This window comes from Homo sapiens, chromosome 17 (assembly GCF_000001405.40).
Source record: "Homo sapiens chromosome 17, GRCh38.p14 Primary Assembly".
Taxonomy (NCBI): domain Eukaryota; kingdom Metazoa; phylum Chordata; class Mammalia; order Primates; family Hominidae; genus Homo; species Homo sapiens.
This window is the reverse complement of record NC_000017.11, coordinates 1,278,600-1,300,978: the sequence shown is the minus strand read 5'-3', so window position 1 is coordinate 1,300,978 and position 22,379 is coordinate 1,278,600. Positions and strand designations below refer to the sequence as shown.

The window sequence follows — 22,379 nt, the reverse complement described above, 5'->3', positions numbered from 1 at the left end:
TACATTCAGGTTTATTTATTTCCATGCTAAGACACACAGCGGCGTCACTGGTGTAGATGGTGAAGGCAGTGTGGGGTGGGTCTTGCTACTCCCTGTGGGACACAGGGAGAGGCTGGGTTAGTGCGTTAAGCCGGGCCACTGTGTTCATGCAGGTGGCGGCTAGAACCAAGATGGAGCCGGGACAGCAGGGCCACTGACCCCTCTGGCCTCCAGGCGGCGTGGGGCACGGGCTGTGGGGACCCTCCGTCCAGGTCCCCTGGTGTCCAGAATGGCTTTCTCCTCCAGGGCCCAAGCCCTTCTCCTGCTCTGTGCTCTGCGGGCCTCCGCCTCCTACACACACCTCGGGGGCCTCTGAGCTCTGTCCCTGGTGCCCTAGGAAACTCTCAAGTTATCCTCGCCTGCCTGGAAGAGCGCCCTGGCTGTGCTGTGCCCATTCCAGGGGCATCTGCAGTGGCTTCCCCTAAGCGGTGGCTGTGGCTGTCCTGGGTTCTGAGTGTGAACAAGCGTGTGTGTGTGTGTGTGTGTGTGTAGGAGTGCACGGCAGAGCCTATTTGTGTGGGTGTGAGAAGGTCTGGGCATGTGTGGCACTCCGAGGGCACCTAGAGTCCCTTCGGGTGTCATGTTCCTCCCGTGACAATCCCTCAACCATCGGTTCGTTTCTGTCCTCTCCCTGGGTTGCTGAGGCTGAGGACCCCGGGGGCCTGCCGGGAAAACGCCCACTCATCATCCCTCCTTCCAGAGCCAGAGCCTGTGCGTGGCCAGTTCCATCGACCTCGCCTCTCCCCTGTGTGACGTGACTTCACGAGGGACAGAAATACTCCGTGCTCACACCCTCCCCCAGCAAACAGGAGCATCTGTTTTGGTCTCAAAGATCCCATAAAGCAAACCCAACCAGTCCCTTCTGTATGAGCAGGAGAGGCTGGAGTTTATTCCCCAGGTGGGGACTGACGTAGGAACACCAGCCCCAAAGGACCAGCCCGGGCCCCCTGAGCCCTGCACCCCTGCCCTCTAGCAGTCACACGGGCTGTGGAAGGCTCAGAGCTCCAGCTGTGCATAGACCCAGGGCCCCTCCCTGTAGACAGAACCTCTGTACTGACCTGCTCTTCCCTTCCCCGGGCCTCTGAGGAGGGTGGGGAGGCGAACAAGGGCCTGGAGAGGAGGCAGGAGGGTCCTGATGGGACAAAGGATGCTGACTTCAACAGCTTTGGGCCACTCTGGGTGTGGCTGGGAGCCCTTCCCATGAAGGCATTGACTCTGGCTGTGAGGTGGGGCTGCCCAGGGCAGGAAAGCCTGGAGGTCTCCAGGGCCTGGGAGCTGCGGTCAGGAGGGTGGGCGGGGGCAGGAGAGGTGCCTGTGGCTGGAGCCTGGGCCAGGGAGAAGTGTAGGGAAAATCATGGGCCTGGAACGAAGGAAGAGGCCGAGGGCCCCACTTGGCTCCTTTCGGGGGTCCCATTAGGTCCTAAGATGAGAGGCCGTGGCGTCCAGGCCCCAGGCTCTGTACATGCAAGTGTATTCCCAAACCTGGTCCCCCGACTCTCCTGCAGACGGGGTCCTTCAGCTGAGCCCTTCCCTCGGTCTCAGGACGGTCAAACAACAGACCCCCATAAAAACTCTCTGACCCACGCCCTTGCAGGTGGCGCAAACGCCCCTGACAGCCTGGGACCCTTTGGGAAGTCCCCCCAGGGGTGGTCCCAAAGCCTCCTCCAGGGAAGGCCTCTGCTGTTTGTGGATGGCCAGGGGCCCAGGGCCAAGCACAGAGCATAGGGCTGGGCTGGAAGCCTGAAACTACCTAAGCAGCACCAGACGGAGCCCCAAGCTTGCACCCCAGGCCATCGCGGGGGCCACGGCAGGACGAGAGCTCAGACCTCGGCCCTCCCCGCTGGCTGACCTTGGCCAGGTCTGGTCCCAGGCTACAGCAGAAGTAGGAGGAAGAGGCAGACTGGCTTGTCCTGGGAGACATCCTGGGACCAGAGTCCTCGAGAGATGCTTCCGAAGCTGACAGGTGTGGGAAGAGGCGTGCGGGTCCTGCCATCCTGGTACCTGTCTTCACAGACACGCCTCTCGGCGCCACCACCTTGCAGCGGAGGATGTTAAGTGAGGCAGTTGCCTCCTTCCCGGGAGCTGCACCCCCCACAGGTGCCTGCCGGGGGAGGTCCCAGGCCTGTGCTGAGCACAGCTCCGCCTCTGCGCTCGGGGCCCTGGCTGGGATCACCGCGGGCGTGTGGCACGAAGCATGCAAACAGTCCATTCTTTCCCCGCTTGAGGAAAACACAAAAGATGGGGCCCCACGTCTTTGCTCCGAGTCCACAGACAGGAAGGAGCTCTGCTGCGTCTCTCCCCGCCAGCGTGTGTCTCGTTTGTGGGGCTGGGTTTTTTCCTCATTCATCCTGGCAGTTTTCGCTGCTTGGTGGAACCCAGGAAATTGTGGGAATGAGAAACAAGCCAGACTGCTGGGGTTGAGATCCCAGGACGCGTCCGGGAGAGTAAACCACGTTACCCATTGGGTTCGCTGTGCTTTCCTTCCTCGCTCCAGGCTTTCTTGTCAGATGGGGGCTGACAGTGGGTGACTGGGGGGTTTCCCTTTGAGTCTGTGCTTTTGGAACTTGGGGACAGGGGATGCTTGACAGTCAGCACCCTGGCCTCCCGCGGTGTGCAGGTCAGAGCTCTCCCGATGGCCAGGGCCGGCCTCTGCTAGCCCAGCTCCCTGCTTAAGTTTATTTCTTCTGAACTGTAAAGAAAAAAAACAGATATGGCAGAACAGGGCTCAGAACACTGGCTCTTCAAGTCCCTGACTGGAGGATTTGGGTTTCTGGTTCCCAGTGGGAAGTGGTAATAGGGATAAGGGGAGAAGGCTAAGGCTTGGGAACCTCTTTGGTTTGGAGCTCTTGGAGTAACTGAACTCCTGCCAGTAAGAGGACTGTGGCCTCAGTGACTGGCTCAGGTGGCACTGGGTCAGAGGTGGGCATGCAACCCTAGCTGAGCCAATCTGAATCAGTCCTGAGACTTTTGCTATCTAACTGTTGAGACTTCTTTCCCTGCTTAGTTACTGGACTGATTAAAATGTGCACCACTCTGGTCGGCTGCGGCAGCTCACGCCTGTCATCCCAGCACTTTGGGAGGCAGAGGCGGGCAGATCACCTGAGGTCAGGAGTTCGAGGCCAGCCTGACCAACGTGGTGAAACCCTATCGCTACTACAAATAACAAAAATTAACCGGGCGTGGTGGCACGTGCCTGTATTCCCAGCTACTCAGGAGGCTGAGGCAGGAGATTCGCTTGAACCTGGGAGACAGAGGTTGCAGTGAGCCGAGATTGTGCCATTGCACTCTAGCCTGGGCGACAGAGCAAGACTCTGTCTGGGGAAAAAAAAAAAAAAAAAAAAAAAAAAGTCCTGGCTAAAATAACAAGCAGCAGCAGGATGGAGACCAAGGCGTCATTTGGTGAGACGGAGGCTAATGTCCTGGGCTGGTGGGCTCCTGCCTTGCATGTACCTGCATGTCAATCAGACTCACTCATGGAGGAAACTGTCACACACGCTCCAATTCACACAGTGAGAAAGTGTGGGACCTGGATTCTGAAGCTGGGCACGCTGATTCCAAACCCGAACGCTTCCCTCTCCTAAGTGGCCAAGGTTGCTGGCGGCCCCACAGCTGAACCCCAGGCTTTCGGTCCCAAGCTCAAGTTGGGCACCCCACACTCTAGACCAGTGCCTCCCAACGTTGACGGTTGGGCTGGGAGTCTTATTAAAGTCCAGATTCCAATCCGGTTCAGGGATGGAGCCTGGAGTTCTGCGTTTCTGACACATTCCTCGATAATCCCGTCACAGGTCCAGGGAGCACAGTTTGAGCAGCGAGGTCTTTAGGGGAAAAGCTTAGGGTTCATTGAAATGGGCAGAGATCCTTGGGGACTTCCTGATGTACGTGTATGAAAGGAAGAAAATCGGCAGTTCAGACCCGGATGACCCCCCAAAGTCACCTCACCAAGCTGCATGGGTTTCTTGAACAGCAGAGAGTCACCTTTGAAAATGGTTCCCCTGGGCCAGGCGCGGTGGCTCATGCCTGTCATCCCAGCACTTTAGGAGGCCGAGGCTGGTGGATCACCTGAGGTCGGGAGTTCGAGACCAGCCTGGCCAACGTGATGCAACCCCATCTCTACTAAAAATACAAACTTAGCCGGGCGTGGTGGCAGGCGCCTGTAATCCCAGCACTTTGGGAGGCTGAGGCGGGAGGATCACCTGAAGTCAGGAGTTTGAGACCAGCCTGACTGATATGATGAAACCCCATCTCTACTAAAAATACAAAATCAGCTGGGTGCGGTGGTGGGCACCTGTAAGCCCAGCTACTCGAGAGGCTGAGACAGGAGAATCACTTGAACCTGGGAGGTGGAGGTTGCAGTGAGCTGAGATCATGCCACTGCAGTCCAGCCTGGGCAACAGAATGAGACTCCATCTCAAAAAAAAAAAAAGAAAGAGAAAATGGTTCCCCTGGGCTGGGCGTGGCGGCTCACACCTGTCATCCCAGCATTTTAGGCGGCCAAGGTGGGTGGATAACCTGAGGTCAGGAGTTCGAGACCAACCTGGCCAACATGATGAAACCGTCTCTACTAAAAATACAAAAATTAGTCGGGCGTGGTGGCTGGTGCCTGTAATCCCAGCTACTCAGGAGGCTGAGGCAGGAGAATCACTTGAACCCGGAAGGCGGAGGTTGCAGTGAGCCGAGATCGCACCACTGCACTCCAGCCTGGGCAACAAGAGTGAAACTCCATCTCAAAAATAAAGTTAATTAATACAAAATAATAAAAAATGTTTCCCCTGGTTGGATGACTTCACCGGGCCACCTATGGGTGCCCACAGAAGGGTCACCTACTTTTTGAATTCTACCATATGCACTGCTTGCTTCTGGGGTTCCCCGGCTGACTGCAGGGATTTTAGTGTTTACAAAGCACAGTCACGTCCTTTATCTCGGGTGATGCTCACAAAAGCCTCTGCTGGAGGCTCTTTCCTGCCACTTGATACCAGGAAACACTGAGGCTCAGCTAGTCAGGAACCGACCCTGGTCCCAGGCCCATCAGAGCTGAAGCTGGAGCTCCTGTCCTCTGACTCCGAGGCTGTGCACTTTCCACACCCTTTCCATCAGTTCACTCTCTGGGCATAAGACAAGTCTGCCAGCCCATCCCCACTCATCTGGTCCCTCCTGGGAACTGGGGCACTTTATGGACTGGGAGGATAAGGCCGGGGCCCCCACCAGCCCTTCTCCTTCCCCCAACCCACCACCTCTGCCCCTGAGGCTGGGTACACCCTTGAGCAGTCCTCACACCAGGCAAGCTGGCTTCCTCCTCTCCAAGGAGCTGGGTCTCACCTGTGAAGTTGACGGTCACGGCCACCATGATAATGACGATGCCCATGATGATGAGGGTAATGCTGAGCAGCCGAGCCAGGCGGCCCAGCCTCCGGGCGCCGTCCACGTTGCCCTGTTGCATGCTGCTTCGAGACTGCGGAGAGAGCACAGAGAGACCCCGGGAACCGGGAAGGCTGTGGGTCAGCTTCATGGGCCTCAGCAGGCAGCCCTGGGGTGGCCCTGAGCCTGGGCCTCCAGACACATCCCGTCCCCATGGCAGCCCACACTCTAGGGGAGAGGAAGAGGGCTGTCCCCGGAGAAGTGGCCAGGGCCTCTTGTGCAGACCCCTAACCACGCCTGTCCCTCACCAGCTGGGGACAGCTGGGAGCAGAACCCAGCAAAGCCTGGCACTTCTTCTCAGGGCGGTGGAGGAGGTGGCGGTGGCAGGCTAGAGACCGAGGGCCTGAGAAGGTGGACCAGGTCCAGGCCAACTGGCAAGAACAGACAGGCCAGGTGCCCCCGGACCCCAGCGCAAGCCTCAATTCTGCAGCGGCTTTGGGATCCCAAGACAGCCCCTGGGCTCTTCCTACAGCCTGACACGCTGGCCTCCTCTCCTCTGTAAGCACCCCCCACCCCTGCCTCCATAAAAAGAGACATTGTCAGCCGGGCGCAGCGGCTCATGCCTGTAATCCCAGCACTTGGAGAGGCTGAGGCGGGCAGATCATGAGGCCAGGAGTTTGCGACCAGCCTGACCAACATGGTGAAACCCCATCTCTACTAAAAATACAAAAATTAGCTGGGCGTGGTGGTGCACCCCTATAATCCCAGCTACTCAGGAGGCTGACGCAGGAGAATCGCTTGAACCCAGGAGGTGGAGGTTGCAGTGAGCCAAGATTGTGCCACTGCACCCTAGCCTGGGAGACAGCAAGACTCCGTCTCAAAAAAAAAAAAAAGAGTTTGAGACCAGTTTGGCCAATACGGTGAAACCCCGTCTCTAATAAAATACAAAAATTAGCTGGGCATGGTGGTGTGCACCTGTAGTCCCAGCTACTCAGGAGGCTGATGCAGGAGAATTGCTTGAACCCCAGAGGTGGAGGTTGCAGTGAGCCAAGATTGCGCCATTGCACTCCAGCCTGGTGACACAGTGAGACTGCCTCAAAAAAAAAAAAAAAAAAAGACACTGTCTTCACAGCCTCCATTTCCCACCCAAGAACCACATCCTCGTTCAATCAAGCCCACTTCCCGGATCACACAAAAGAATGAATGGCCTCGTGGTTGCCTGGGGAGACCAGGACTGGGTGGAGTCATGTGGCTTCACGGGGGCCTTGTTTTATGTATCACTCCTCGGTGAGCTCTGTTCTTCCTGAACCTAGTTCAACGGCTAAAACGGATGAGGGTGGGGACAGAGAGGGTCCTAGGAGGGTCCCGGGATGACTTGGTAGGAGGTGGAGCCCAAGCATCTCTAAGGGTCCTGTGTCCCTCCCTCCCTAGAACAGGCACACGCAGGAGTCCTCTGATGGTGTGGCTGATTTCAGGGCCTCAGAGAAGTCCTTGGTTACTTTATTTTCTGATTATTTGAGGCTCCTGAGTTCAACATGGAAATGCAGTTAAGTGTGATGAAGATGATGACAAAGAAGAAGACGATGATGATGATTTTACTTCATGCCAGGCAGCTTGCTAAGGACTGTACCTAGATTACCTCCTTTAGCCTCAGAATCACCCTAGGAGGTTGGCAATGCAGCCCCACCTCCCTGAGGAAGAAACTGAGTGTCAGAGCTGTGCCCCTCCCTCTCTGTGTTCTCTCTCTGCAGGTGCCCTCTTGGGGTCCTGTTCTCTTCACTGCTCAAAATTCTGACCAGCCTGCACCCAGCCCTGCACTTCCATTCCAAGCTCCGTCTGGGACAGCGTGACATCATCAAATTCAACCTGTGACATCATCAAACTCAACCCACAACATCAAACTCAACTCATGACATCATCAAACCCAGCCCATGACATCATCAAACCCAACCTGCGACATCATCAAACACAACCCACGACATCATCAAACTCAACCCACGACATCATCAAACCCAACCCACGACATCATCAAACTCAACTCGTGACATCATCAAACCCAACCTGCGACATCATCAAGCACAACCCACGACATCATCAAACTCAACCCACGACATCATCAAACCCAACCCACGACATCATCAAACTCAACTCGTGACATCATCAAACCCAACCCACGCCTTGTACCTCTCCTCCTCCTCCTTGCCGTAGCCTGAGCTCCGCTCCTCCCTCTCCGTGACGGCTCCTCTGCCCTCTGTTACAAAGCAGGAGCATCACCACTATCTTTTTTTTTTTTTTTTTTTTGAGACAGAGTCTTGCTCTGTCGCCCAGGCTGGAGTGCAGTGGCGCAATCTCGGTTCACTGCAAGCTCCACCTCCCGGGTTCAAGCCACTCTCCTACCCCAGCCTCCCAAGTAGCTGGGACTACAGGTGACCGCCACTACGCCCGGCTAATTTTTGTATTTTTAGTAGAGACAGTTTCACCATGTTGGCCAGGCTGGTCTCGATCTCCTGACCTCATGATCTGCCCACATTGGCCTCCCAAAGTGCTGGGAGTACAGGTGTGAGTCACTGTGCCCGGCCTCTTTCCTCTCAAAGATCTCCCCAGCACCAGTCTCTGTTCTTCTTCACCCTCTCCCCACGCCCCCGATTCACACTGTCTGTATTTGTAACAGGCCCTGTGTGAGACCCCAGGACGCAGCAGCGCGGAGGAGCATCCCGGCTCCTGTGCCCACAGAACTTCTGGCCCACTGGCCTCCTTTGTGATCACACGAAGAAAGGTAAAAATGCAACTGTGGTGGGTGGCATGACAAAGGAGAGGCACTTGATACCAGGAGAACTCGTGAAAGGGGAGAATCAGGGAAGACTTCCTGGAGGAAGGACATTTGAGTTGAGATGTGAAGGATGAGCAAGAATTAGATTGTTTGTTTCCAAAGGAAGGAGTATCCCAGGCAGAGATAACAGCCATGTGCGAAGGTGCTGCATGGCAAATGTGTAGATGTTCAAAAAACAGTCGCTGACTGAGGAGGTAGGAGGGACTGGACGGAGGTCAGCGTTGCTGGGGCTGATGGAGGGAGGATGGGGAGGCACAGAGGTGGGCAGGGCTAGGCCAGGCAGGGCTCGAGCAGCACCAGAAGGAGGGTGGTCCTTATACCATGAGCAGCGGGGCCCAGTGTAGGACGTGAGTCCCGAATGATAGGACTGGATACGGATTTCCAAAACACCCTTCTGTCTGCAGTGTGGGGAACAGAGGGGAGGCAGGGAGGTGAGTCGGGAGCTGTTGCAAAGGTTCAGTGAGATGATGGTGGCTGAGGCCATCCCAGCTGCTCAGCGTCTTCCACAGAACGAAGTCCAAATGCAGGCCAGCTTACATTTCCTGTTTTTTTGTTTGTTTGTTTTGTTTTGTTTTGTTTTGTTTTTGAGATGGAGTTTTGCTCTTGTTGCCCAGGCTGTAGTGCAATGGCGAGATCTCGGCTCACTGCAACCTCCGCCTGCCGGGTTCAAGCATTTCTCCTGCCTCAGCCTCCCAAGTAGCTGGGATTACAGGCATCCACCACGCCTGGCTGATTTTATATTTTTAGTAGAGATGGGGTTTCATCATGTTGGTCAGGCTGGTCTTGAACTCCCGACCTCAGGTGATCCCAGCCACCGCGCCTGGCCTACATTTCCTGTTTTATCCTCCACTATTTTCTTCCACAACCACTGGGCCCAGCCAGTCTGAGTTGCTTGAGGTTCGAGTATCAACCTCCACAGGGCTTTATTCTGGCTGTTTCTCCAAAGCACCATATGTCCAAATCCCTCCATCCTTCAAGGGGTGGCTCCAAGGCCACCTCCTCTGTGAAGCCCACCAAGATTCCTCCAGCTCTGCCAGGAGAATAAACAACGCTGGCACTCTTTGAACGTGTATCTCGTGCTAGGTATGATGCCAAATTCTGCCACCTGTTAGAACAATTCATCCTCTGTGGTAGGCCGTTCTCACACCGCTAATAAAGGCATGCCCTAGACTCGGTAATTCATAGAGGAAAGAGGTTTAACTGACTCACAGTTCAGCATGGCCAGAGAGGCTCAGGAAACTTACAATCATGGCGGAAGGGGCGGTAAACACGTCCTTCACCACATGGCGGCAGAAAGGAAAAGTGCCGAACAAAACGGGGAAGCCCCTTATAAAACCATCAGATTGGTAGGCGCGGTGGCTCACGCCTGTAATCCCAGCAGTTTGGGAGGCCGAGGCAGGTGGATCACCTGAAGTCGGGAGTTTAAGACCAGCCTGGCCAACATGGCAAAACCCTGTCTCCACTAAAAATACAAAAATTAGCTGGGCGCGGTGGCGGGTGCCTGTAATCCCCGCTACTCAGGAGGCTGAAGCAGGAGAATTACTTGAACCCGGGAGGCGGAAGTTGCAGTGAGCCGAGATCACACCATTGCATGGCTGAGGTGAGTGGATTACCTGAGGTCAGGAGTTCGAGACCAGCCTGACCAACATGGTGAAACCCCGTCTCTACTAAATACAAAAAAATGAGCGGGGCATGGTGGCACCTGCCTGTAATTCCAGCTACTTGGGAGGTTGAGGCAGGAGAATCGCTGGAACCCGGGAGGTGGAGGTTGCAGTGAGCCAAGACTGTGCCACTGCCCTCCAGCCTGGGCCACAACAACGAAACTCTGGCTCAGAAAAAAAAAAAAAAATCCATCAGATCTCGCGAGAACTCACTCATTATCGCGAGAGCAGCAGCGTGGGGGTAACCACCCCCATGATTCAATGACCTCCACCGGGTCCCTCCCAGGACACGAGGGGATTATGGGGCCTACAATTCAAGGTGAGATTTGGGTGGGGACACAGCCAAGCCATATCACCTTCCTAACACTCCAGTGAGGCAGGGATTGCGATTAGTCCATTTTACAGACGAAGAGATGGGGGCAGAGCACAGACCATGATGTGGGCGTGGTACAAGAAGCAACTGGGGAGGGGGAAAACGCCAGATCAACAAGGACCCTCGGCCAGGAGCAGTGGCTCACGCCTGTAATGTCAGCACTTTGGGAGGCCAAGGTGGGCAGATTGCTTGAGGTCAGGAGTTCAAGACCAGCCTGGGAAACATGGCAAAATCCCACCTCTACAAAAAATACAAAAATTAGCCGGGCGTGGTGGCATGTGTCTGTAGCTTCAGCTACTCGGGAGGCTGAAGCAGGAGGATCACTTGAGCCTGGGAGGCGGAGGCTGCAGTGAGCTGAGATCACGCCATTGCACTCCAGCCTGGGCAACAGAGCGAAACTCCATCTCAAAACAAAACAACAAAAAGGGCCCTGACTGTCACATAAGGGAGTCGGGATTTTGTCCTGCAGGAACAGGGAGCCAGTGAAGGATATTAATTGGGACAGGATCAGATTTGCATTTTAGGAATGTTCTCTGACTACTGTGTAGAGTACGGGGTGGAGATTGAGAGCAGACAGTTTCAAAGACTGGAAGGAAGTAGAGAATTGGAAAAGAGTTCAGGTTTGAGAAGTTCTGAAGATAGAATCCATGGGTTTTGGTGAAAGATGAGATGGAGTATGGGGGAGGAACAGGACTTGAACAGTTCCCAGGTTCCCGGCTTGGGTGCTGGGAGGAACATGATTCAGACGATTCCGGGGTTCCCGGCTTGGGTGCTGGGAGGAACGTGACTCGAATGATTCCCAGGTTCCCAGCTTGGGTGCTGGATGAGTGGAGGTGCCCTTCCTCCAGCTGGGACTCAGGAAGAGGGCCGTGCAGTGTTTGGACTTGTATTTGGGCAGAGGTGCGGGGTGCCATGAGTATGTAGCTGGACTTGGATAAACCGGTCCCAGCATGCAGGAGTCGTCACACGGGGATGCAATTGAGGCCATCCAGGGGCAGATGGAAAGAGGAAAGGTCCACAGACAGGACTGTGGGGAACACTGACTCATAAATAAAGGGGTGCTGGGGAGAAGAAGGCTGCAAGGGAGCCTGAGGAGGAGTGGGAGAGGGTGGGAGGGGCAGCATCTGGGAAGCACAAGATGGGAAAGAAGGAGGGAGTGGCTGACAGTGCCGTGTCCGGCATAGGTCAAGCAAGATAAGGATGAAATATGGAACTATCGGCAATGCTGGTCATGCTTACCCTTGGCAGGAGGTTTCAGAGGAGCCGGTGGGGGATGAGGAGCCCGTGGGGGATGAGGAGCCGGAGGGGGTTGAGGAGCCCATGGGGGATGGGGAACCAGTGGGGGATGGGGAACCTGGTGGGGGATGGGGAACTCGTGGGGGATGAGGAACCCATGGGGGATGAGGAGCCTGTGGGGGATGGGGAGCCCCTGGGGGATGAGGAACCCGGTGGGGGATGAGGAACCCGGTGGGGGATGAGGAGCCGGAGGGGGTTGAGGAGCCCGTGGGGGATGGGGAACCCGTGGGGGATGAGGAGCCGGAGGGGGTTGAGGAGCCCGTGGGGGATGGGGAGCCCGTGGGGGATGGGGAGTCCGGTGGGGGATGGGGAGTCCGGTGGGGGATGGGGAACCCGTGGGGGATGGGGAGTCTGGTGGGGGATGGGGAACCCGTGGGGGATGAGGAACCCGTGGGGGATGGGGAGCCCGTGGGGGATGGGGAACCCGGTGGGGGATGGGGAGCCCGTGGGGGATGGGGAGTCCGGTGGGGGATGGGGAGTCCGGTGGGGGATGGGGAACCCGTGGGGGATGGGGAGTCTGGTGGGGGATGGGGAACCCGTGGGGGATGGGGAACCCGTGGGGGATGAGGAGCCCGTGGGGGATGGGGAACCCGTGGGGGATGGGGAGCCCGTGGGGGATGAGAAGCTGGAGGGGGATGGGGAGCCCGTGGGGGATGGGGAACCCGTGGGGGATGGGGAGCCCGTGGGGGATGGGGAACCCGTGGGGGATGGGGAACCCGGTGGGGGATGAGGAGCCCGTGGGGGGTGGGGAACCCGTGGGGGATGAGAAGCTGGAGGGGGATGGGGAACCCATGGGGGATGGGGAACCCGTGGGGGATGAGAAGCTGGAGGGGGACGAGGAGCCCATGGGGGATGGGGAACCCATTGGGGATGGGGAACCCGTGGGGGATGAGAAGCTGGAGGGGGATGGGGAGCCCGTGGGGGATGGGAAACCCATGGGGGATGGGGAACCCGTGGGGGATGAGGAACCCGTGGGGGATGGGGAACCCAGTGGGGGATGAGGAACCTGTGGGGGTTGGGGAACCTGTGGGGGATGAGGAGCCCATGGGGGATGGGGAGCCCATGGGGGATGGGGAACCCGTGGGGGATGAGGAGCCCGTGGGGGATGGGGAACCCGTGGGGGATGGGGAACCCGGTGGGGGATGAGAAGCTGGAGGGGGATGAGGAGCCCGTGGGGGATGGGGAGCTGGTGGGGGATGAAGCTCAGACAGCACGTGGAGGCAGCTCTTAGGAGCTCAGCAGTGGAAGCGAATAGGTGATGGCAGAGCAAATACAACCGGGTGGATAAAAGGGGTTTCTTCCAGACGGGAGAGGAAGAGAGCTGCAAAGAGGGAAGGGGGATGAGACTGAGGAGTGATGGGTGCCATGATGTCCCCGGGCAACAGAGAGAGGCTGAGGTCAGGACTAGAGTTCAGGGATGGCCTGTGGACAGAGTGGGGAGGGCACTCTTGTTCTTAGAAATTGGATGAGAGGGCCAGGTGCAGTGGCTCACGCCTGTAATCCCAGCACTGTGGGAGGCTGAAACGGGGAGGTCACCTGAGGGCAAGAGTTCAAGACCAGCCTGACCAACATGGTGAAACCTTGTCTCTACTAAAAATACAAATATCAGCCGGGCTTGATGGCATATGCCTGTAGTCCCGGCTGCTCGGGAGGCTGAGGCAGGAGAATCACTTGAGCCTGGGAGGTGGAGGTTGCAGTGAGCCAAGATCGCACTATTGCACTCCAGCCTGGGTGACAGAGCGAGACTCTGTCTTAAAAACAACAGGCCAGACGCAGTGGCTCACACCTGTAATCCCAGCACTTTGGGAGGCTGAGGCAGGTGGATCACGAGGTCAGGAGATTGAGACCATCCTGGTAACACAATGAAACCCCATCTCTACTATAAAAATACAAAAAATTAGCCAGGCGTGGTAGTGGGCCCCTGTAGTCCCAGCTACTTAGGAGGCTGAGGCAGGAGAATGGCGTGAACCTGGGAAGCGGAGCTTGCAGTGAGCAAAGATTGTGCCACTGCACTCCAGACTGGGTGACAGAGCGAGACTCTGTCTCAAAAAAAGAAAACAAAAAAAAACAAAAACAACAATAACAACAAAAAGAATTTGGAACTGTACCTAACATTTAGTAGGTACTCAGTGAGTATTAGTAATATTAGCCCTCAACACTGGGCTCCCTCAACTCTCTCCTCCCTGGCTACTGATTTTTCCCTTTAGAAATTCATTTCCACAACTACACTCCACCCCTTTGCCATCCCCTGACCTGATTCCTCCTTTGAAACTCAACTCCCAACTTCCCTCTCACCCTCTCATGCCCTTTGTCTTCTCTCAGCCCATGGCCCCTTTTCTCTTCCAAGTCTATCACCATCTTCCTGGCCTCGCTCCCTCCCAGCACAGCCCAACCCTTCGATGTGTCATCTCAGCCACCTCACCAGCATCCTCCTCACCACCTGGCCCTGCTCTCACAGCAACTCTGCCATCCTCAGACTTGGGTTGACCTGATATGCATGTCTGGGAACCTACACCTACAGCTGGAGCAAATCACACCCGGCTGGCCAATAACAACACTCCACAGGCCGACAACAACACCCCACAGGCCGACAACAACACCCCACAGGCCGACAACACCCCACGGGCTGATAACACCTGACAGGCCAATAACACCCCACAGGCTGATAACACCCCACAGGCCGAAAACAACACCCGCAGGCCGAAAACAACACCCACAGGCCAACAACACCCCACAGGCTGATAACACCCCTCAGGCCAATAACAACACCCCACAGGCCGATAACACCCCACAGGCCGAAAACAACACCCCACAGGCCAATAACACCCCACAGGCCGATAACACCCCACAGGCTGACAACACCCCACAGGCTGACAACACCCACAGGCCAACAACACCCCACAGGCCGATAACACCCCACAGGCTGATAAAAACACCCCACAGGCTGATAACATCACCCCACAGGCCGATAACAACTCACAGGCCGACAACAACACCCCACAGGCTGATAACAACCCGCAGGCCGATAACACCCCACAGGCCGATAACACCTCACAGGCCGACAGCAACACCCCACAGGCCAACAACACCCCACATCTGTGGTCTCCAGCCTCAGCAGAGGCCTTGGGCCATTGGCCTGTCTGTGCCTGGTCACCTCCCCTCCCTGCTGCCACCAGGCCCCTAGTTCTTAGCAAACGACCTTGGACCCACATCCCTGGAGGCCTGGTGGCCGTGCAGCGTGAGCCAGCCCCTTCCCTCTGAGCAGTTCCATCGGCCTCTGCCCTCACGGCCTCTCCTTCAGGCTGCCAGGGACAGGGTGTCTTTCTTCCTGGGCTCTGGATCGCATCTCTCCACTGCTTCCAGGACCTCAGCTCATCCATCATCCCTCCCATTTTGCCAAGGCCCCTCCATCCCCCGGTCACCAGGGATCTATGCGTGGCCAAGGCAGTGGATGCTTCCATGCTCATTGAACCTGAGCGGCCTCGGAGCTGGCCGCTCCCTCCTTCAGACTCTCTCCTCCCTGGGTGTCTCTGCCCCTTTCCAAGATTTCCTTCCACCTCCTGGAATCTCCTTTTCAAAATACTTTTCTGTCCACTCCCCTCGGCCCTCCCCCTAGATGTTAGAGACCCCCACATCTCTCTGATGTGGCTCCAGTTTCCCCCTCCCCTCCCCTCCTCGACCTTACCCTTCCCTTCCCTTCCCATTTTTTAGATGGAGTCTTGCTCTGTAGCCCAGGCTGGAGTGCAGTAGCACAATCTCAGCTCACTATAACCTCCGCCTCTGCCTCCCGAGTCCTGGTTCAAGCGATTCTCCTGCCTCAGCCTCCAGAGTAGCTGAGATTACAGGCGTGCGCCACCACGCCCGGCTAATTTTTGTATTTTTAGTAGAGATGAGGTTTCACCATGTTGGCCAGGCTGGTCTTGAACTCCTGACCTCGTGATCCACCCGCCTTGGCCTCTCAAAGTGCTGGGATTGCAGGTGTGAGCCACTGAGCCCAGCCCTCTTTAATTTTTTGAGATGGAGTCTTGCTCTATTGCCCAGGCTGGAGTGCAGTGGCACAATCTTGGCTCATTGCAATCTCTGCCGCCCGGGTTTAAGTAATCCTCCTGCCTCAGCCTCCTGAGTAGCTGGGATTATAGGTGTGTGCCGCCACGCCTGGCTAATTTTTTGTATTTTTAGTAGAAACGGGGTTTCACCATGTTAGCCAGGCTGGTCTCGAACTCCTGACCTCAAGTGATCCACTTGTTGTCTCCCAAAGCGCTGGGATTACAGGCACGAGCCACTGCACCCAGCCAGAACTTAAATTCCTAAGCAAGTCCCTGCTGCCTCCCTCTCCCATCACACCCCTTGCAGCCTTCTGCCATGTCAGCCAGACCGTCTACTTATCCCATCCATCTGCTTCCCAAATGCCAACACGGTGCCTGGTTCATAAAAGAGGTGCATTCAGCCGGGTGTGGTGGCTCACGCCTGTAATCCCAGCACTTTGGGAGGCCGAGGCGGGTGGATCACGAGGTCAGGAGATCGAGACCATCCTGGCTAACACAGTGAAACCCCGTATCTACTAAAAATACAAAAAATTAGCAGGGTGTGGTGGCGGGCGCCTGTAGTCCCAGCTACTCAGGAGGCTGAGGCAGGAGAATGGCGTGAACCCGGGAGGTGGAGCTTGCAGTGAGTTGAGATTGCGCCACTGCACTCCAGCCTGGGCGACAGAGCAAGACTCCATCTCAAAAATAAATAAATAAATAAATAAAAGAGGCACATTCATTCACAGGGGCCTGACCGTCCTCTACTACTTAGTTCCCTCAACACAAGCAACTTGCTGTTCAAGTCGACTGAATGAATGAATGGTCGGTACAACCCACTCTTAGAGGGTTTCAGAGCCACCTCTGGCCCTGTCCCTGGCCCTGGTCCTGGCCTCTTCGCCTCTTGCCTGCATTCCTACGAGGGTCCCCTCTGCTGAACGCCAGCCTCATCCCCTCCAACCCCTCCTCTCACCCTGCCCCAGACTGATCCAGCAAAATGGAGATCCAACCACACTCCTCTCGGCTGCAAAGCCTACAGCGTGCTGCTACGGCACTGCGGCAGGGATGACGCTTGAAGACGACATGCAAAGTGAACGAGGCCAGGAACACAGGCCTCATACTGTATGATTCCATTTATCATTTCATGTCCAGAATAGGCAGATCTAGAGAAACAGAAAGGAGATGAGTGGTTGCTCAGGGCTGGGAGGGGCAGGGATGGAGAGTGACAGCTGAAGGGGACAGGGTTTCTTTCTTTCTTTTCTTTCTTTCTTTCTTTCTTTTTTTTTTTGAGACAGAATCTTGCTCTGTCGCCCAGGCTGGAGTGCAGTGGCACCATCTCAGCTCACTGTAAGCTCCGCCTCCCGGATTCACGCCATTCTCCTGCCTCAGCCTCCTGAGTAGCTGGGACTACAGGCGCCCACTGCCACCATGCCCGGCTAATTTTTTGCATTTTTAGTAGAGATGGGGATTCACCGTGTTAGCCAGGATGGTGTCAATCTCCTGACCTCGTGATCTGCCCGCCTCGGCCTCCCAAAGTGCTGGGATTACAGGCATGACCACCACTCCCGGCCCTTTATTTTATTTTATTTTTTTTGAGATAGAATCTCACTCTGTTACTCAGGCTGGAGTATAGTGGCTGGATCTCGGCTCACTGCAACCTCTGCCTCCAGGGTTCAAGTGATTCTCCTGCCTCAGCCTCCCGAGTAGCTGGGATTGCAGGCACATGACACCACACCTGGCTAATTTTTTTGTATTTTTAGTAGAGATGGGGTTGCACCATGTTGGCCAGGCTGGTCTCGAACTCCTGATCTCAGGAGATCCACCCGCCTCGGCCTCCCAAAGTGCTGGGATTACAGGCATGAGCCACTGCGCCCGGCCAGGGTACAGGGTTTCTTTTGGAGATGAGGCAAATGTTCCAAATTGACTGCGGTTGTTGCACCTGTCTGTGAATACACTTTAGATGGGTGCATCATATGGTATGTGAGTTATATCTCAACAAAGCCATTTCTAAAACACCAGGATGGCTTCCTGCCTCCCCCGGGAGGCTCCCCGCTGCCACTTACGTACCCATTATCCTGTAAGAGCCCCACACCCTCCTGGTGTTGTTCTGAAGCACTGGGTGTGGCCCGTCTCATTTCACCCCCTCACGGCTCTCTCGTGCAGGCATTGAGGTTATACCCATTTTGCAGATGGGAATGCCAGGGAGAAGAGCCGTTTGAATGACTTTCCCAGCTCATTATCTTAACTTTATGTCTACCACGGGCACTTCTGGAAATATGTCATAAGAATCTGTTTAAGAGTTCCTTCCTGCCGGACTGGAGGTTCTGGGGAATTGGCAACAGTGTCTGGTTAGCAATGTATTCCCTGTGCCCAGCCTGGTATTCATCACACCTGACTCAAAAACGTAAAAGGGGCCGAGTGTGGTGGGCACTTGCCTGTAATCCCAGCACTTTGGGCGGCCGAGGTGGGAGGATCACCTGAGATCAGGAGTTTGAGACCAGCCTGACCAACATGGAGAAACCCCGTCTCTACTAAAAATACAAAAATTAGCCAGGCATGGTGGCCAGCGCCTGTAATGCCAGCTACTTGGGAGGCTGAGGCAGGAGAATTGCATGAACCTGGGAGACGGAGTTTGCAGTGAGCCAAGATCGCACCATTGCACTCCAGCCTGGGCGACAGAGCGAGGCTCCGTTTCAAATAAAACAAAACAAAACCTTTAAAGAATATAGAAACAGGCCAGGTTCAGTGGCTCACACCTGTAATCCCAGCCCTTTCGGAGGCCGAGGTGGGTGGATCACGAGGTCGGGAGTTCAAGACCAGCCTGGCCAACATGGTAAAACCCCGTCTCTACTAAAAATACAAAAATTAGCCAGGTGTGGTGGTGGGCTCCTGTAATCCCAGCTACTCAGGAGGCTGAGGCAAGAGAACTGCTTGAACCTGGGAGGCAGAGGTTGCAGTGAGCCGAGATCGCACCATTGCACTCCAGCCTGGGTGACAGAGCAAGACTCTGTCTTAAAATATATATACATATACGTACATATATACATATATACGCATATGTACATATACGTACATATATGTACATATATACGCATATGTACATATACGTACATATATGTACATATACGTGCATATATGTACATATACGTACATATACGTGCATATACGTACATATACGCACGTGTATACGTACATATACGCACGTGTACACGTACATATACGCACGTGTATACGTACATATATGCACGTGTATACGTACATATATGCGTGTATATGTACATATGTGCATTTATGTGTACACATATACGTATATATGTACATATATGTATATATGTGTATACATGTACATATGTGTACATATGTGTGTATATATGTACATATGTATATGTACATATGTGTATATCTGTATATATGTACATATATGTACACGTGTGCATATATGTACATGTATGTGCATATATGTACATGTATGTATATGTATATATAGAAACTCACTGGGGCAGGTTCTGTGGTCTCATTGCCTTGGGCTTAGGCTCTGTTTGTCAGAGGCAGGTCCTGCCCAGCCTGCACCCTGCCACCCCACCAGGAGATGGATTCCAGCAGCTGTTTTCTCCTGAGCCCTTGGGTAGCTTCCCTCCCCAAATCCAGTTTCCCCTCCTGGGGCCTTTCCCTGTAACCAAGAGGCAGGCCCTGCCCACAGCCACTGGCTGCACCCCTGGGTCCTGGCTTTACCTGCAAGCGGTCCCCAGGTACAGCAGGCATCACAGAGAGCTGCCCGGAAGGCCCCTGCCCGGCCCTGCTTCCACAGCCCATGCCAAGTCCCTCAGACTCAGGAAGGCTGCCAGTGCCCCCTGATGTCCTGAAAGGTAGTACTGGCTTTGGTGGGATGGGGAAGGCTTCCCTGCTGGGAGACTGGGCCTCCCTGAGGTAGACAGAGTGGTTTGAAGAAATAGGAGCTTTCTCAGAGGACAGCTCCTGGGGGTTCGGTGATGGTGACTCTGCAGGGAGTCACTCTTGGGAACCCCCCTCCACACCTAGTCCTCTGGCCCTGACCAGCCTGGGCCAGCAGTTTTCTACCCCCTGCCCCTGACCTCACTCTGAAATCATTGCTGAGCCCTGCTTCTCCCTCTCCCCACCCTTTCATAACTCTCGCTTCTTCCTGGACTTCAAAAGTCACTTGCCAATATCTGCTGACATTTTCTATGGAATCCTTTATAAGTAGCTCTACCCAAAGGGCTTGGGTTGGAGACAATCTAAGACAATTCATTCAAAATCCCATGGAAGTACAGACCCGGCCCCATGCCCCTTCCTGGGCATGGCAGGCCATGCCCTCTGACTCTCACATTTTTCACTTGTGACCCAGACCTCCCCTGCCCTGAAGACGAGGCTGAAGTCAGCGTAGCTGTGGAGCTGCAGAGGGCTCCGGAGGGAACTCCACGCCTCGGGAGGAGCAGTCTGCCAGCTCTCCCCGCTTTGTGCGCCCCTCGGGGGAGCCTGGCCCCGGAGCCCTCAGGGTACGGCAGGGAAGCCGCTGCGACTCTTGGAAACCGGAGCCGGCAGAGGCTGGGAGCATGTCCAGGTGGCCTGGGAGGACACATGGGCGCTGGGACCCCCGTCCGGTGCAACCTCTGCTGAGACAGCCCCACTTGGCGATGACCCTTTGGGACCGCCCGTCCCTCCTAAAACAGCAAGACCCCCAGCCTGGCTATCTTTCTGCCCCGCGGGATGTATCGCCAGGCAGCTCCCTGAGGGCCCCTCCCCAGCAGACACAGGTGCAAAGTCGAGCTCTGATGCCCAGAAGCAGAGATGAGAGAACAGAGCAGGAGCTCTTCCAGCCCCGGGGCCCCTCTCTAAGAGGAAGGAGGAGGCCAGTGAGGAAAGGAGTCTTCCCCAAGCCCCCCACTCCCAGCTCTCTCTTCTCCACACCCTGGGCAGTGTTTGGTGCCTGCCTGGGGGAAACACCTGCCGACCCCTGGGCCCAGCCCCTGCCCCTGGAACAAAGACCAGCACTTACCATGATGGAAATGATGAGGGGGATGAGGTTGAGGGGCCAGACGGGGCAGAAGCAGGCGACGACGGCCAGGATGAGGTAATCTCTGGGGGCTTCTTGGTCTTGGGCATAGGAGGTGGTGGCGATGGAGGACGCCCTCCTTGAGCTGGCCCGGGAGGGGGACCGAGGCAGTGGGGCCTCCAGGTGCCCCTCGGAGATGGCCTTGAAGGGTAGGCCCTGGCTGTTCTGCTCCAGATCCAGAGGCCCCGAGAGGGTCTTGGACAGATTCAGGGTCTTGTCATCCTTGTTCTCTGCCTTGGTGAGGAGTATCTCCATCTCCGGCAGGTCCAGGAATGCGGCGGAGCCTGGCTCCTGTGCTGAAGGAAACTCGGACTGCACCGGGTGGGCCATGGGGGCCTGGGCCTTGCGCGGCTGCAGCTCCAGGCTGGGACAAGGGGCTCTGGAGGGACCTCAGCGCGCCATTCCCCAGCCCAGACTGAGGGCCTCCAGGTCGGGGGCAGGGGCGTCCCTCAGGAGACGGAGGGCCGGCTGGGTGCTGGAAGGGTTGGGCTGAGCTTCTCAAGCCAGCTGAGTTCAGAGGCTGGGGCCTGCCTGCTGCCCCCGCGGAGCTCCCAGAAAGACGCTGGAGCCTGCAGCTTTGTTCAAGTTTGAGGCCAACTTTGCTGGTGCTGCTGAGAGCACAGATGGGCAGGGAAGCAACGGAAAGCTCAGAGAGCAGAGAGAAGAATGCGCCTCTTCCCAGGGAGGCTCAGGCTCAGTCAGGGAGGCTGTGTGTGTGTGTGTGTGTGTGTGTGTGTGTGTGTGCGTGTGCGCACACGGCCTCCCTCCCTCTCCCCCTCCTTGGTGATGCTTTTCCTTTTCAATTCCCCTCTCCCCAGAGAACCACCCTGGCAGGATTTTGCCTCTGCCCCAGCCCAGCCCAGCCCAGCCCAGCTCTGCCCAGCCCAGCCCAGCCCAGCCCAGAGGGACTTGGGCCAGCCTCCGGTTTCTGTTGCAGCTCCAGGGCCTGCTCCTCTGGGCAGGGTCTCTGGATGGGGAGAAAGACACTTTGGGCCCCACAGGGATGTGTCTTCAGCTGTCCTGGGAACTGAGCCCTCCGCTGCTTCTTCCAAAGCAAGCGTGTACTTCTTTCTTTCTGTTGGGAAATGCTGGACCTTAGGGCCCCCTATTACATCCCACCCAGACCCTGACCCCCAACCGCTGGGAGCATCCAGGCCAAAGCCTGGCTCCCGACTCCAGAAGGGAAGGGGAGATGTGAGCACCAGGGTAGCCCCTGGATCCTGCCTGGACCCTGCATGGACCAGCAGGGCCCCATGAGTAGGTTTCTACGTAGCTCACCACCAGGTGGGGAAGAGGATAAGGGGGAGTGTTGGGTCCACCTCATGCCCATCAGAACGATTCTGGGGTGCTAAAGAGCCGGTGGCAGAGAGCCCCTAGGTCAGCTGCTCCGGGCAGATGCCAGCTCGGAAGGGCCTCAGGCTGTTTGTCCTATCGGATTCTCCTCCTTTGTTCTCTCTTAGGTTTTCTCCCTCTGTCTCTGCCTTCTTCTCTATCCTCGGCATCTCTTTCTATATTCCTGACGCCCCTCCTTACATTGTTTTACAAGTGTGATCTGGAGCCGCCACGGATGTGTGTGTGTGGTTTGAAAGTGGTTGTATGAAATAGTTTAAAATCCTACGATCAGGCGGGATGCCATGGCTCATGCCCATAAACCCAGCACTTCGGGAGGCCGAGGCAGAAGGACTGCTTTAGCCCAGGAGTTTGACACCAGCCTGGGCAACATGGCAAAATC

At 56.0% G+C, this 22,379-nt stretch overlaps 1 protein-coding gene across 1 annotated transcript, besides 1 other annotated feature; it reads right to left on the bottom strand.

The window, feature by feature from the left end:
• On the bottom strand, positions 1-21,317 carry TRARG1 (trafficking regulator of GLUT4 (SLC2A4) 1 (gene/pseudogene)). The gene is made up of 3 exons (NM_172367.3): positions 20,591-21,317; positions 5,356-5,488; positions 1-2,728 (listed from the first exon to the last, which is right to left on the bottom strand). Exons 1-3 carry the CDS (start codon positions 20,975-20,977, stop codon positions 2,715-2,717), a joined length of 534 nt encoding a protein of 177 aa, NP_758955.2. The 5' UTR covers positions 20,978-21,317; the 3' UTR covers positions 1-2,714.
• Positions 1,577-2,171: an enhancer, noted in NCBI's record as "H3K4me1 hESC enhancer chr17:1202102-1202696 (GRCh37/hg19 assembly coordinates)". NCBI's record gives its function as "activates a minimal SCP1, AML or CMV promoter by ChIP-STARR-seq in primed H9 embryonic stem cells {active_cell/tissue: H9 hESC(primed)}" and the evidence as "EXISTENCE:reporter gene assay evidence [ECO:0000049][PMID:30033119]".
• Positions 21,318-22,379: the final 1,062 nt, after the last annotated feature.